This window comes from Homo sapiens, chromosome 9, assembly GCF_000001405.40.
Source record: "Homo sapiens chromosome 9, GRCh38.p14 Primary Assembly".
NCBI classification, from domain to species: domain Eukaryota; kingdom Metazoa; phylum Chordata; class Mammalia; order Primates; family Hominidae; genus Homo; species Homo sapiens.
In genome coordinates, this window is record NC_000009.12 from 8,326,025 (window position 1) to 8,342,065 (window position 16,041).

The 16,041-nt window shown below is 39.3% G+C and overlaps 1 protein-coding gene across 55 annotated transcripts in view; it reads right to left on the reverse strand.

Moving 5' to 3' along the window:
• The window catches only part of PTPRD (protein tyrosine phosphatase receptor type D), a 2,298,757-nt gene that overhangs the window by 11,779 nt on the left and 2,270,937 nt on the right, over positions 1 to 16,041 (reverse strand). For all 55 annotated transcript variants that reach the window (NM_002839.4, XM_017014961.3, XM_006716827.5 and 52 more), the window contains 5 exons: positions 15,669 to 15,954; positions 15,066 to 15,244; positions 14,319 to 14,445; positions 12,898 to 13,023; positions 5,558 to 5,712 (listed from right to left, as the gene is read on the reverse strand). In NM_002839.4, coding sequence (NP_002830.1) covers positions 5,558 to 5,712; positions 12,898 to 13,023; positions 14,319 to 14,445; positions 15,066 to 15,244; positions 15,669 to 15,954 — 873 coding nt within the window. The remainder of the gene's footprint in view (positions 1 to 5,557; positions 5,713 to 12,897; positions 13,024 to 14,318; positions 14,446 to 15,065; positions 15,245 to 15,668; positions 15,955 to 16,041) is intronic.

Sequence of the window (16,041 nt, forward strand, 5' to 3'; positions counted from 1 at the left end):
TTTGACTTCCACTTTTTCTAATTGAATAACATTTATTTCTTTCTGTTGCCTGACTGCCTTGGCCAGAACTTCCAATACTGTGTTGAATAGGAGCAGTGAGAGAGGGCATCCCTCTCTTGTGCTACTTTTCAAAGGGAGTGCTTCCAGTTTTTGCCCATTCTGTAGGATAGTGGCTGTGCGTTTGTCATAAATAGCTCTTCTTCTTTTGAGATACGTTCCATCAGTACCTAGTTTTTTGAGAGTTGTTAGCATAAAGGGCTCATGAATTTTGCCAAAGGCCTTTTCTGCATCTATTGAGATAATCATGTGGTTTTTGTCATTGGCTCTGTGTATGTGATGGATTACGTTCATTGATTTGTGTATGTTGAACAAGCCTTGCATCCCAGGGATGAAGCCGACTTGATCGTGGTGGATAAGCTTTTTGATGTGCTGCTGGATTCGGTTTGCCAGTATTTTATTGAGGATTTTGGCATCGATGTTCATCAGGGATATTGGCCTGGAATTTTCTTTTTTGTTGTGTCTCTGCCAGGTTTTGGTATCAGGATGATGCTGGCCTCATAAAATGAGTTAGGAAGGAGTCCCTCTTTTTGTATTGTTTGCAATAGTTTCAGAAGGAATGGTACCAATTCCTCTTTGTACCTCTGGTAGAATTCGTCTGGTCCTGGACTTTTTTTGGTTGCTAGGCTATTAATTACTGCCTCAATTTCAGAACTTGTTATTGGTCTATGCAGAGATTCAACTTCTTCCTGGTTTAGTCTTGGGAGGGTGTACGTCTCCAGGAATTTATCCATTTCTTCTAGATTTTCTAGTTTATTTGCATAGAGGTGTTGATAGTATTCTCTGATGGTAGTTTGTATTTGTGTGGGATCAGTGGTGATTTCCCCTTTGTCCTTTTTTATTGTGTCTGTTTGAGTCTTCTGTCTTTTCTATCTATTTTGTTGATCTTTTCCAAAAGCCAGCTCCTGGATTCATTGATTTTTTGAAGGGTTTTTCGTGTCTCTATCTCCTTCAGTTCTGTAGTGTTCTTAGTTATTTCTTGTCTTCTGTTAGCTTTTGAATTTGTTTGCTCTTGTTACTCTAGTTCAATTGTGATGTTAGGGTGTCGATTTTAGATCTTTCCTGCTTTCTCTTGTGGGCATTTAGTGCTATAAATTTCTCTCTACACACTGCTTTAAATGTGTCCCAGAGATTCTGGTACATTGTGTCTTTGTTCTCATTGGCTTCAAAGAACATCTTTATTTCTGCCTTCATTCTGTTATTTACCCAGTAGTCATTCAGGAGCAGGTTGTTCAGCTTCCATGTAGTTGTGTGGTTTTGAGTGGTTTTTTTTTTTAAATCTTGAGTTCTAATTTGATTGCACTGTGGTCTGAGAGACTGTTTGTTATGATTTCTGTTCTTTTGCATTTGCTGAGGAGTGTTTTACTTCCAATATGTGGTCAATGTTAGAATAAGTGCAATTTGGTGCTGAGAAGAATGTATAATTCTGTTGATTTGGGTGGAGAGTTCTGTAGATGTGTATTATTAGGTCTGCTTGGTCCAGAGCTGTGTTCAAGTCCTGAATGTCCTTGCTAATGTTCTATCTCATTGATCTGTCTAATATTGACAGTGGGGTGTTAAAGTCTCCCACTATTATTGTGTGGGAGTCTAAGTCTCTTTGTAGGTCTCTAAGAACTTGCTTTATGAATCTGCATGCTCCTGTAGAGGGTTCATATATATTTAGGATACTTAGCTCTTCTTATTGCATTGACCTCTGTACGTAATGCCCTTCTTTGTTGGTTTAAAGTCCGTTTTATCAGAGACTAGGATTGTATCCCCTGCTTTGTTTTGCTTTCCATTTGCTTGGTAAATATTCCTCCATCCCTTTATTTTGAGCCTATGTGTGTCTTTGCATGTGAGATGGGTCTCCTGAATACAGCACACTGATGGGTCTTCACTCCTCTTTATCCAATTGGCCAGTGTGTGTCTTTTAATTGGGGGCATTTAGCCTATTTACATTTAAGGTTAATAAGGTTATGTGTGAATTTGATCCTGTCATTATGATGTTTGCTGGTTATTTGACTATTAATTGATGCAGTTTCTTCCCAGCATCGATGGTCTTTACAATTTGGTGTGTTTTTGCAGTGGCTGGTACCAGTTGTTCCTTTCCATGTTTAGTGCTTCCTTCAGGAGCTCTTGTAAGGCAGGCCTGGTGGTGACAAAATCTCTCAGCATTTGCTTGTCTGAAAAGGATTTTATTTCTCCTTCACTTATGAAGCTTAGTTTGGCTGGATATGAAATTCTGGGTTGAAAAGTCTTTTCTTTAGGAATGTTGAATATTGGCCCCACTGTCTTCTGGCTTGTAGGGTTGCTGTCGAGAGACCTGCTGTTAGTCTGATGTGCTTCCCTTTGTGGGCACGCCGACATTTGTCTCTGGCTGCCCTTAACATTTTTTCCTTCGTTTCAAGCTTGGTGAATCTGATGATTCATTGTGTGTCTTGGGGTTGCTCTTCTCGAAGAATATCTTAGTGGTGTTCTCAGTATTTCCTGAATTTGAATGTTGGCCTGTCTTGCTAGGTTGGGGAAGTTCTTCTGGATAATATCCTGATATCCTGAAGAGTTTTCTCCAACTTGGTTCCATTCTCCCCTTCACTTTCAGGTAAACCAATCAAAGTAAATTTGGTGTTTTCATATAGTCCCATATTTCTCGGAGGCTTTGTTCATTTCTTTTTACTCTTTTCTCTAATCTTGTCTTCATGCTTTATTTCATTGAGTTGATCTTCAATCTCGGACATCCGTTCTTCCACTTGATTGATTTGGCTATTGATACTTGCGTATGCTTCACGAAGATCTTGTGCTGTGTTTTTCAGCTCCATCAGGTCATTTATGTTTTTCTCTAAACTGCTTATTCTAGTTAGCAATTCCTCTAACCTTTTTTCCAGGTACTTAGCTTCCTTGCATTAAATTAGTAACATGGTCCCTTAGCTCGGAGGAGTTTGTTATTACCCACGTTCTGAAGCTGACATCTGTCAATTTATCAAACTCATTCTCTGTCCTGTTTTGTTCCCTTGCTGGCGAGGAGTTGTGATCCTTTGGAGGAGAAGAGGCGTGCTGGTTTTTGGAATGTTCAGCCTTTTTGTGCTGGTTTCTCCCCATCTTCGTGGATTTATCTACCTTTGACCTTTGATGATGGTGACCTTCAGATGGGGTCTCTGGGTGGACGTGCTATTCCTTTCTGTCTGTCTGTTTGTTATTTTCCTTCTAACAAACACCCAGGCCTCTCTGCTGTAGGTTTGCTGGAGGTCTATTCCAGACGCTGTTTGCCTGGGTATTATCAGCAGAGGCTTCAGAACAGCAAAGATTGCTGCCTATTCCTTCCTCTGGAAGCTTCATCCCAGAGGAGCACCTGCCAGATGCCAGCCAGTGTTCTCCTGTATGAGGTATCTGTCAGCCCCTACTGTGAGGTGTCACCCAGTCAGGATACATGGGGGTCAGGGACCCACTTGAGGAGAGAGTCTGTCCCTTATCAGAGCTCGAACACTGCACTGGGAGAAATGCTGCGCTCATCAGAGCTGCCAGGTGGGGATGTTTACGTCTGCTGAAGCTGTGCCCACAGCTGCCCCTTCCGCCAGGTGCTTTGTCCCAGTGAGATGGGGGTTTTATCTGTAAGTAAGTCTGTGATTGGGGCTGCTGTCTTTCTTTCAGAGATGCCCTGCCCAGGGAGGAGTAATCCAGAGAAGCAGTTGGCCTTGCTGAGCTGCAGTGGACTCAGCCCTGTTTGAACTTCCTGCTGGCTTTGTTTACACTGTGAGGGTAAAACAAACAGCCTACTCTAGCCTCAGCAATGGCAGATGCCTCTCCCCTCACGAAGCTCGAATGGCCCAGGTGGACCTCAGACAGCTGTACTCGCAGTGAGATTTTCAAGCCAGTGGATCGTATCTTGCTGGGCTCTGTGGGAGTGGATCGTATCTTGCTGGGCTCTGTGGGGGTGGGACACACCAAGCCAGGCACTGGAGGGAATCTCCTGGTTTACCAGTTGTGAAGACTGCGGGAGAAGTGCAGTATCTGGGCCAGAGTGTACTGTTCCTCGTGGTACAGTCTCTCACGGCTTCCCTTGGCTAGGAAAGGGAAATCCCCTGACCCCTTGTGCTTCCTGGGTGAGGCAACGCCACACCCTGCTTTAGCTCACCCTTTGTGGGCTGCACCCACTGTCCAACCAGTCCCAATGAGATGAAATGGGAAACGCAGAAATCCCCTGCCTTCTGTGTCAATCTCACTGGGAACAGCAGACCAGAGCTATTCCTATTCAGCCATCTTTCCAGCTCTTGTAAGTACATTGTTGTTTGTTTAGACCTAATGCTATTGCACACTAAATAGACTATAGTATAAAGTAAACACAACTTTTATATGCACTGGGAAACCAAAAAGTATGTGTGACTCCCTTTATTGTGGTAATCTGGAACTAAACTCCCATAACGTCTCTGAGGTATGCCTGTATTTGATTCCATGTGTCATTTCCTACAAGCTCTTTGGTTGGTTTGCAAAGGATGTTTAATAACTCAATAGAAAGTAGAAAGCAAATGTACATAGATAAAGGTTTGCTTCTTATAACATGCCTGAGAAACAAAGGATGCTAGAAGGGACTTTAAACCTCAGCTAAGATAACTGAAGTCCAGAGAAACTTCATTATCATAGAGCCAAATAATAGAATTGAGATTAGAACACAGCTATCTTAGCCCAAGTCTAATATTTGTCCTATTTTGAGATCCTGCCTTCTATGTCGTAAAGAACTATAGTTTTCTTTGATGTGCTGAAGCAAAATATATTTTTTAATAAACTCTCTCAAGAGTTTCACCATAAAAAGATTAGATGTCAAGTTGCCAGAACCCTAAAATATATTAGTTTAAATAAAATTAGATGAATTGCTTTTGTTAGAAGGTTTTTGCATAGCAACTTCCAAAAACACTAAATTTATGGTGAATGTCTGAACTATTTACTTGCTATTTATTTCTATTAACTTCAATGACTTGAGTTATAAAATGCTCTAGAAACTATTGAAAATAATTAACTTGAAGGTGCTTCATTTTCTGATATAGCAACAATTTTCAAGCAAATTGCATTTTTTAACTGAGGTACCATACTAAGCACTTATTGACTGGCAGAACTTAATATTGTCATTAGGATTTATTTGATAGCTATTCATGAGGTTTTCACAAACAGAAGAAAGACAGTTATCAGTGCATTGCTATGAAAGCAAAAGCAAATATGAAATGATTAACAACGAATTATTACTAGGGGAGGTACCAACAATTCCCATTAAGGTAAAATTGGTAATTTGGTTTGTCTAATAGGAAGCAAATTTTTTGGGGGATAAACATTTTTTTGGGGCTAAACATTTTCCTCTGATTATTTTCACTTATTTTCACTTTATGAAAAGAAAGAGAAATCAATCCTGCTTTAAGTTTTGTAATACATTGCCAAGAATAAAATTTCAAATAAGCAAACTTACTACAAAAAGTGTATACAGACAATGAAGAAACACCACCACTTATCACTGCTTTATTCACAAATGGAAACTTACCTGCAATGGACTGAAATGGGTCCATCTTGGCCAAACTGTTCTTTTGTTTTATGGACTTGGCCGATGAAGTCAATAAATCCTTCTCCGGACTTTGGCACTCCTTGCTCTGGCCAGTCAGTGAACTGGAACTGCCTTACTGTTCGGGACTGGCCGTCCTTTAGAAGGAAAGCCACATACCCGGCCGCAAAGGAAGACGCCAGGAGGATTCAGCAAGCATACGGACCACAAGAACAATCATTTTCATTTCCCGAAAACAAAAAGGGTAGAAAAAGTTAGGAACATGTTTAAATAGAAACTTAGTTATGGTTTATCTGCTATAAATATTGTCCACACTCACATACCTTTAAATCCTAAATTTATTTACTCTTGAAATCCTAAATTTATTTACTCTTGCAGTGCCCAGTTAAAAACCTGGTTCTCGTTAGTAGCCATCCACATAGTTCCCCCATTAACAAATGTTTCTGAGACCCAAAGTGGGGGTTCGTAACCATTCATCATGTCTGCATTCCTTCCAAAATGGAACATATAAAATGGAACATATATATTCCATTTCAAAAATTTCAGAAACTAATTACTTTGTAATAAATATTGAAACAAGCACCTAGGCATGTCATCCAGACCAGAGCTTTTGCAGTTGTCGCAATAACTTCACATCTGCTGTGCTTGCGTATTTCTACCGTTGTCAAATGACAAATGGTGAAATTTAAAGTATCTGACACAAACCCGGTAGTTGCTGTTAACCTGGATGCCCCCCATGTCTCAGAGGAATACCATTTCTAGCCATGGCAGGGGACATAGCATGAACCATATGACTGTGCTGTTAAGTGGGAAGTAAAGCATCCCTCAAGGATACCAACGACTATTAGCAAACAAATGCCCTTTTCTGAAAAAGAGCTCTCCCTGGCTGACCACAGGAATTAACAGTCTGTGGAGAGCTTTAACATAGATAAACCAAAAGGTAGAAAAAAAAGCCAGATTGAAGAGCAGTCTTTCTTTTTTAGAGTGATTAGGTAAAACTGCTCTGACTCACGAAGTATATCTGGGTTGAAAAGAAGACACTAAGGCATTTCTGATCTTCTGATCCCTTGTGGAAATTTAAGGTGTTTCTAGAAGTACAAGAAAAGTGGAAGGGAGCCTCTGTTTATAGAAGCAGAAATAATACATTGCCCATCAACCTTCTCCCCTGACTCATCAGCAGAGAGAAATAATCCAAGCTTAGAGAGACCGATCTCATTTCTCATTTGAAGAGGTCCTACTCCTAAATGGTCTCTTCTCATTAAAGAGCCTTCAACTTGTTCCTCCATTGTTTCTGTTAACACATTATTTCCTCATCAAACTTTTTTTAGATACACGTGTGCATGTTCCCAAGGTTCTGGGTAAGTGAACAGGGACTCAATCCTTTATCATTCACTCATATTGAGAAGAGAGAGGATCTCAGTGTGAGATGAGCACTCATCACCTCGCCTGGTGGTTTTCACAGGGACATGCCAGATTCCTGACTGATGTTATTTGGGGATGGAGATAAACAGGAAGATGACACCAAGTGTGTGGGAATACTGAGAAATAGAGAAAACTATTTGGCCCCATAAGTACTTTATGGATGGTTACCATGGAAGCATGATTTACTTCCCTCTGTTTCTGGAAAAGATTTGGAAAGCACAGGAAGGAGACCCAGAAGCTAGGTAATACAGATTTATTCTCCTCTGAATGTCCTGGGGATTTCATTTCTGACCACAGTTGCTTTCAATAGCAAGAAGAGGTCATGTGTGCAAATACCTTCTATTTGGAGGAGAGACTGCCTGACTTCATTTAAAGGTTACCTGTTTAACAATACTGTAATTTTCAACCCAGAATTGCATATCCAGCCAAATTAAGCTTCATAAGCAAAGGAGAAATAAAATCCTTTACAGAAAAGCAAATGCTGAGAGATTATGTCACCACCAGGCCTGCCTTACAAGAGCTCCTGAAGGAAGCACTAAACATGGAAAGGAACAACTGGTACCAGCCACTGCAAAAACATACCAAATTGTAAAGACCATCAACGCTATGAAGAAGCTGCATAATTAATGGGCAAAATAACCAGCCAGCATCATAATGACAGAATCAAATTTGCATATAACAATATTAACCTTAAATGTACATGGACTAAATGCCCCAATTAAAAGACACGGACTGGCCAATTGGATAAAGAGTAAAGACCCATCTCACACGCAGAGATACACATAGGCTCAACATAAAGGGATGGAGGAAGATCTACCAAGCAAATGGAAGGCAAAAAAAAAGAGCAGGGGTTGCAATCCTAGTCTCTGATAAAACTGATGACTTTAAACCAACAAAGATCAAAAGAGACAAAGAAGGCCATTACATAATGGCAAAGGGATCAATGAACGAAGAAGAGTTAACTATCCTAAATATATGTGACCCCAATACAGGAGCACCCAGATTCATAAAATAAAGCAAGTTCTTAGATACCTACAAAGAGACTTAGACTCCCACACAATAATAATAGGAGACTTTAACACCCCACTGTCAATATTAGATCAATGACACAGAATATTAGCAAGGACATTCAGGACTTGAAGTCAGCTCTGGACTAAGCAGACCTAATAGACATCTACAGAACTCTCCACCCCAAATCAAGAGAATATATATTCTCAACACCACATTGCACTTATTCTAACATTGACCACATAATTGGAAGTAAAACACTCCTCAGCAAATGCAAAAGAAAGAATGGAAATCATAACAAACGGTCTCTCAGACCACAGTGCAATCAAATTAGAACTCAAGATTAAAAAAAAAACCACTCAAAACCACACAACTACATGGAAGCTGAACCACCTGCTCCTGAATGACTACTGGGTAAATAACAGAATGAAGGCAGAAATAAAGATGTTCTTTGAAGCCAATGAGAACAAAGACACAATGTACCAGAATCTCTGGGACACATTTAAAGCAGTGTGTAGAGAGAAATTTATAGCACTAAATGCCCACAAGAGAAAGCAGGAAAGATCTAAAATCGACACCCTAACATCACAATTGAACTAGAGTAACAAGAGCAAACAAATTCAAAAGCTAACAGAAGACAAGAAATAACTAAGAACACTACAGAACTGAAGGAGATAGACACACGAAAAACCCTTCAAAAAATCAATGAATCCAGGAGCTGGCTTTTGGAAAAGATCAACAAAATAGATAGAAAAGACAGAAGACTCAAACAGACACAATAAAAAAGGACAAAGGGGAAATCACCACTGATCCCACACAAATACAAACTACCATCAGAGAATACTATCAACACCTCTATGCAAATAAACTAGAAAATCTAGAAGAAATGGATAAATTCCTGGAGACGTACACCCTCCCAAGACTAAACCAGGAAGAAGTTGAATCTCTGCATAGACCAATAACAAGTTCTGAAATTGAGGCAGTAATTAATAGCCTAGCAACCAAAAAAGTCCAGGACCAGATGAATTCTACCAGAGGTACAAAGAGGAGTTGGTACCATTCCTTCTGAAACTATTCCAAACAATACAAAAAGAGGGACTCCTTCCTAACTCATTTTATGAGGCCAGCATCATCCTGATACCAAAACCTGGCAGAGACACAACAAAAAAGAAAATTCCAGGCCAATATCCCTGATGAACATCGATGCCAAAATCCTCAGTACTGGCAAACCGAATCCAGCAGCACATCAAAAAGCTTATCCACCACGATCAAGTCGGCTTCATCCCTGGGATGCAAGGCTTGTTCAACATACACAAATCAATAAACATAATCCATCACATACACAGAACCAATGACAAAAACCACATGATTATCTCAATAGATGCAGAAAAGGCCTTTGGCAAAATTCAACACCACTTTGTGCTAACAACTCTCAATAAACTAGGTACTGATGGAACGTATCTCAAAATAAGAAGAGCTATTTATGATAAACGCACAGCCACTGTCATAACGAATGGGCAAAAACTGGAAGCATTCCCTTTGAAAACTGGCACAAGACAGGGATGCCCTCTCTCACCACTCCTATTCAACACAGTATTGGAAGTTCTGGCCAGGGCAATCAGGCAAGAGAAAGAAGTAACGGGTATTCAATTAGGAAAAGAGGAAGTGAAATTGTCTCTGTTTGCAGATGACATGATTGTATATTTAGAAGACCCCATTGTCTCAGCCCCAAATCTCAAGCTGATAAGAAACTTCAGCAAAATCTCAGGATAAAGAATTAATGTGCAAAAGTCACAAGCACTCCTATATACCAATAACAGCCAAATCATGAGTGAACTCCCATTCACAATTGCTTCAAAGAGAATAAAATACCTAGGCATGTGAAGGACCTCTTCAAGGAGAACTGCAAACCACTGCTCAAGGAAATAAGAGAGGACACAAATGGAAGAACATTCCATGCTCACGGATAGGAAGAATCAATATCGTGAAAATGGCCATACTGCCCAAGGTAATTTATAGATTCAATGCCATCCCCATCAAGCTACCAATGACTTTCTTCACAGAATGGGAAAAAACTACTTTAAATTTGACATGGAACCAAAAAAGAGCCCACAAAGCCAAGACAATCCTAAGCAAAAAGAACAAGGCTTGAGAGATCATGCTACCTGACTTCAAACAAGGCTACAGTAACCAAAACAGCATGGTACTGGTACCAAAACAGAGATATAGACCAATGGAACAGAACAGAGGCCTCAGAAGTAACGCCACACATCTGCAAACATCTTATCTTTGACAAACCTGAGGGAAAACAAGAATGGGGAAAGGCTCCTCTATTTAATAAATGGTGTTGGGAAAACTGGCTGGCCATATGCAGAAAACTGAGACTGGATCCCTTCCTTATACAAAAATTAACTCAAGATGGATTAAAGACTTAAACCTAAGATGTAAAATGATGAAAACCCCTAGAAGAAAACCTAGGCAATACCATTCAGGACATAGGTATACACAAAGACTTCAGGACTAAAACACCAAAAGCAATGGCAACTAAAGCCAAAAGTGACAAATGGGATCTAATTAAACTAAAGAGCTTCTGCAGAGCAAAAAAAAAAAAAAAAAACTACCATCAGAGTGAACAGGCAACCTACAGAATGGGAGGAAATTTTTGCTATCTATCCACCTGACAAAGGGCTAATATCCAGAATCTACAAAGAACTTAAACGAATTTACAGGAAAACAACAACCTCATCAAAAAGTGGGCAAAGGATATGAACAGACACTTCTCAGAAGAAGACACCGATGCGGCAGACAAACATATGAAAAAATGCTATCACTGGTCATTAGAGAAATGCAAATCAAAACCACAATGAGATACCATCTTACACCAGTTAGAATGGCGATCATTAAAAAGTCAGGAAACAACAGATGCTGGGGAGGATGTGGAGAAATAGGAATGCTTTTACACTGTTGGTGGGTGTGTAAATTAGTTAAACCACTGTGGAAGACAGTTTGGTGATTCCTCAAGGATCTAGAACCAGAAATACCATTTGACCCAGCAATCCCATTACTGAGTGTATACCCAAAGGATTATAAATCATTCTACTATAAAGACACATGCACACGTATGTTTATTGTGGCACTATTCACAATAGCAAAGACTTGTAACCAACCCAAATGTCCATCAATGATAGATTGGATAAAGAAAATGTGGCACATATACACTATGGAATATTATGGTGAGTGAGTATTCCATAAAAAAGGATGAGTTCATGTCCTTTGCAGGGACATGGATGAAGCTGGAAACCATCATTCTCAGCAAACTAACACAGGAACAGAAAACCAAACACTGCACTCAAAAGTGGGAGTTGAACAATGAGAACACACGGACACACGGAGGGGAACATCACACACTGGGGCCTGTTGCGGGTTTGGAGTCTAGGGGAACGATAGCATTAGGAGAAATACCTAATGTAGATGATGGGTTGATGTTGCACCAAACCACCGTGGCACATGTATAATTAAATTATGTAACAAACCTGCATGTTCTGCACATGTATTCAGGACTTACACTCCAGGAGCACAGACAAACAGCAAATGTAGTAGCTAAGAAAATTATACAATCACAGGGAGACTTTAAAAAAAAAAAGGTGAGCAACTTCCGGTTTCAATCTTCTTTTGTTTATTGTGATCAGATTTAAGTTGTGCATGTGTGGAATAGGAAAGGTGTCTCTGCCATTGGTGGGGCCTGGTGCCTTTTCTTTATCACCAGGAATAGTTGGTGAGTTTACTCAAAATGCACTTTCTATTTTCACTCACATACCTAGCTTCAAATTCTGAAAGAGCACTATTTTTTTTTTTTTTAAACGGTGGGGCAGGTTACACTCAAGACCTAGAGATTTAACTGCTGCCTTGAATACTGTCACCTTCAGAATAGTTAATATAACTTTCTGGGATTAACAGGTCTGTCACCTAGGCCAACCCTCCTGCTAACCAATTTCTCTTTCACTTAAGGTCAACAGCCAGGGCCAGGCTTTGGGGATTAGCAGACAATCTCCAAACCTAAGTTTGGAGAAAGCTGCTTTCCAGAAAAAACAATGGATCAACTAAATAGCTTTACCCTGGAGTTTTATTCAACCCACCCACTGTGACAGTTCCAAACACAAGGCAGGTCTTTGAACTGACCTGGTCTCCCTTAAGATGTGTTTGTAATCATGGGTTGAAAGTGGCCAAAGGCGAAGATATCAGAGTTTATGCATAGAACATCTTACATCAGGGCTGAACCTTGGACTCAACAATCCAGATAAGAAATGCAGGATGAAAATTAGCCAACAAGGGTCATGGGAGCACAGCTCTCATGGACAGACACATTAGCACACTGAGGAATAAGCCATGCCAGGAATCAAATTAGAATGTGCAAAGCTTGTCAGATTTTTCTAAAGAATGCCATTTGCTCTGCGGTTTTAAAATCATACCAAATTAACCTCTGGGTCCATATGACCTAAAGGGCTTTGCAAAACAACAACATATTTAGAGCCTCAAGTAATGAAGAAGTCAAAAAAGCTCCAAAGAGCATGAGCTGAGAAGGTGAATGTAAGCACAGCCAACCAATCAGTAAACACTTCCCAGCACGAACACTCACCAAGTGCATCCCCAAGGTTGAGCTGCCAGATGTTATGTTTGAATGAAAGCCAAACTAAGGTTTGTGAGAAAGCTTGCCAGACAGAGGAAAAGTTACTCTTACATATTAAACATAAAAAAAAACGTTCTCCAGAATGAATGATTTCTCTTTGGGACAACAGTCAAGTGGCAAGTGCTTCTCCCAGAGAGAGAGAGAGAGAGGTATCTTAGACTACTTTTCAGCTAATGGTTAAGAGTTGAAGACTGTGCCAACTTACCCTGGCATCTGTGACCTTGAATTCCCTTAGGATATACTGTGGCATGTTGTACTCAGCCATGGGATCTACAACAAAGTACTGGTATCTTGCAGACCGTTCTGCTGGCCAGTATTGGTGACATTTCTCCTAAAAGGAGAGAAGATTAATGTTAAACTATGCAAAGTATAAAGAACATTCTGTATATTATCTATCTATCTATCTAATCTATCTAATTTCCTTATCCCATTAATAAAATTTCAAAATTCAAGGCAATTCCAATTGCATATGACTCATTTCCTCTTAGAAACCATGAGCTCCCTTCATAGGGAAACCCTTTGGTTCAGTATTTGCCTATGGCATCCAGCACGGTCTCTGGCAGATAGTAGCTGCTTAATATACACGAGTTGAATTGAGAATTGAATACTTTCATAGGGTAAGCATCTTCATACCTACAAGTTATCCAAATAATTACATCAGTCCTTGGACAATGCTGGCCATGACAATAACACATTGCACCACCACAGCATACTTGCACCACTATGGTTTGGAATGAAGAGAACCATCAGTATGGACATAGAAAGAAACCTCCGAATTGATTTGTTCCAATCTTACTTGTCAAGGAAACGAGGGGCCCAGTCCATTTTAATGACTTGGCTAAACCCTGCAGAGTCATTGGCCAAATCAGAGTAAGTCAGTTACTTTCCTCGTCTGATATTCTTTTTGTTCTCTCCGGGGGCTCTACAAGTTGGGCTTTAGCTGCACTTCTATTTAATTTACACAAAGAAGACAGAAAGAAAATATCTGAAGCAAATACGAAATAATGCTTACATCAAGTCAATCTAAGAGGTATCTCTAAATAATATTAGGTCATAGTGGTAGAGCAGTATTAATAGTAGAAACCTTAAGTATTTCTAATACTATTTTATGTGTATTTCAAAAAAAAACAAACCACTTTTTTCAAAAGTGGATCTGGGATTACCAGGTTATATCCTTAGAAAAACTATGTTGCTTTCCAACACTTTATTCAATGGGAGTGAAAGGTAGGCAAGTAAGAATTTGCCTCAGGAAGAAAAGAAAGTCAAGTTCCTTCATAAGTAGAAATGATGGCACATCAAACTCTAGCCTGTCCAGAACAAAAGGCAGTAAGAATATGCTAAAAGAAGTCCGACATAAGTCAAACGGGGACACCTGCTACTCATTTGTCTCCATGCTTGTGCTTCACTGGAAACAAATCACTAGATCTTTCTTTAAAACACATAAATTTAAACACTTGATGTGGCTTTACAAATTTAGAAACTAACAAGGAATGATGGTCCGGATTATGTCCAGAGTGCACTGCATTTCAAAAAAAATGATCTAGCACAAGAGTTATTGAAACAAAGTCTTCATTTCTCCACAGAGTAAATGTCTTATGAGGAGACACACAAGGGCCACACACTTACTCTGCCCATTTCACGCAGCTTGGTGAGCATCACAACTATGGTGGAATTGTGTTCCCAGAGCATCCGCCAGAAGTCTTCAGTGGTCTCTGCCAAGGGCCCCTGGGTAGCGATGTAGGCTTTCTGTTGTCTGAATTACAGAGAATGAAAAGAATGTGTTAAAGTATTTAGAGAACATGCAAAAGCTCACACTGGATACATAAACATCAACCTGCTAATAAAAAACGAAAACATATTATTAATGCAATTGAGGTAAATTCCTGCTAAGATTAAATAATCAAATAAGAGCATTTAATACATTTTGGGGACTTCGCAAACTAAATTGCTTGTTAATATTATGATGTATGTCTTTATCATTATTATTTGAATTTTAGCGCAATGCTAATAGCTCAATTTCATTGTCATACAAATTACTTAAGAAACACTTAGATGTGCAGCTTCATTTTCTAGAAATTATTCTCACACAATCTATTAAATTTATGAAATATGGTACAAAACAGATTCTTTATTAACTACTTACATATCCAATTGGCTTATGAAAGAAGAGTGCAGAAGGCCAGATTAAACACTTCATAACTACTACTCCTAACTCCTATCCAAAATAACAAAAAAACAAATACCAAGGGACTAAATGATGACCTATGCAGAAAGAAAATGTCTTTGAATGGAGATGAAATTTATTCTGGTTATTAAACTAGGGCACATGTAAATATCAAGGCTTTGGATAGTCAGGGGAGCAAAAGTAGATACCTGTATCCATCAATAAAACTGGCATTGATGTAATCAGATCCTTCTACTCCACGGATAGGCTGCAGGCATACCCTTGTGGATTCATATGGCATAATATTAACAAGGCGATTTTTGAATTTATTACATGGAAGATTGGCACTGATAAACCTTGAGGTGTGAGCTTTTGAGCTGGCTAGACGCTGTTGAATAGGAAAAAAAAAAAAGGAAAAACCCAACAAAGATCATTTTCACCTACAGTTTGAATGCAGTGTACCCCAGATTTCCCTTTTAGATATAAATCTTTTGTTTACTTAAAGTAAATGACTATTCAAATTGTACTGCTTTTCACATCTACCTAATCACTCTCTATAGCCTATTGGATTTCTATATATTTTCTGAAAGTATAGTCTCTCAAGTTAGGAGACATAAGGGCTCAAGATATTGTTAGGAAGCAAAGAATAGAAGAGGAAAAGGGGAGGAATACATTTTATAATCATACACCTGAGGGAAAGGTCAAATGAATCTTGTACTTCACAAATTTGAAAGGTTAAAGTAAAGCCACGACTCAAAGACAAACCCAGAATGACTTGCTCCTGAATAACCACATCACATCCAATACCATACCTTAAATTCGAGCTCCATTCCTGTGACATTCTCTCCCGTTTCTATTTGTGTCAGCTTCTGAATGTAGGCATACAAGTTTCTAGCTGGCACTTCGGTATTTCCACAAGTCACTGCTTCTAACAGTGCATCATGGATAAAGATGTATTGGTCTTCTGTTTGAACCATATAGTTCCTCTGGGCTCTCATTAAAGTTACATGGCCATAAATATCTACAGTTTTTTCATGCTTTATTCTTTCTAACATGGCATCTATGACGATGAAGCAACCAGTCCGGCCAACTCCCGCACTATGAGGAAAATAGAGAAGAAAAGCCCAAATAAACCTATCAGAAAATCAATACATAATAAAAGTATTTTTATTATTCTTATTAACT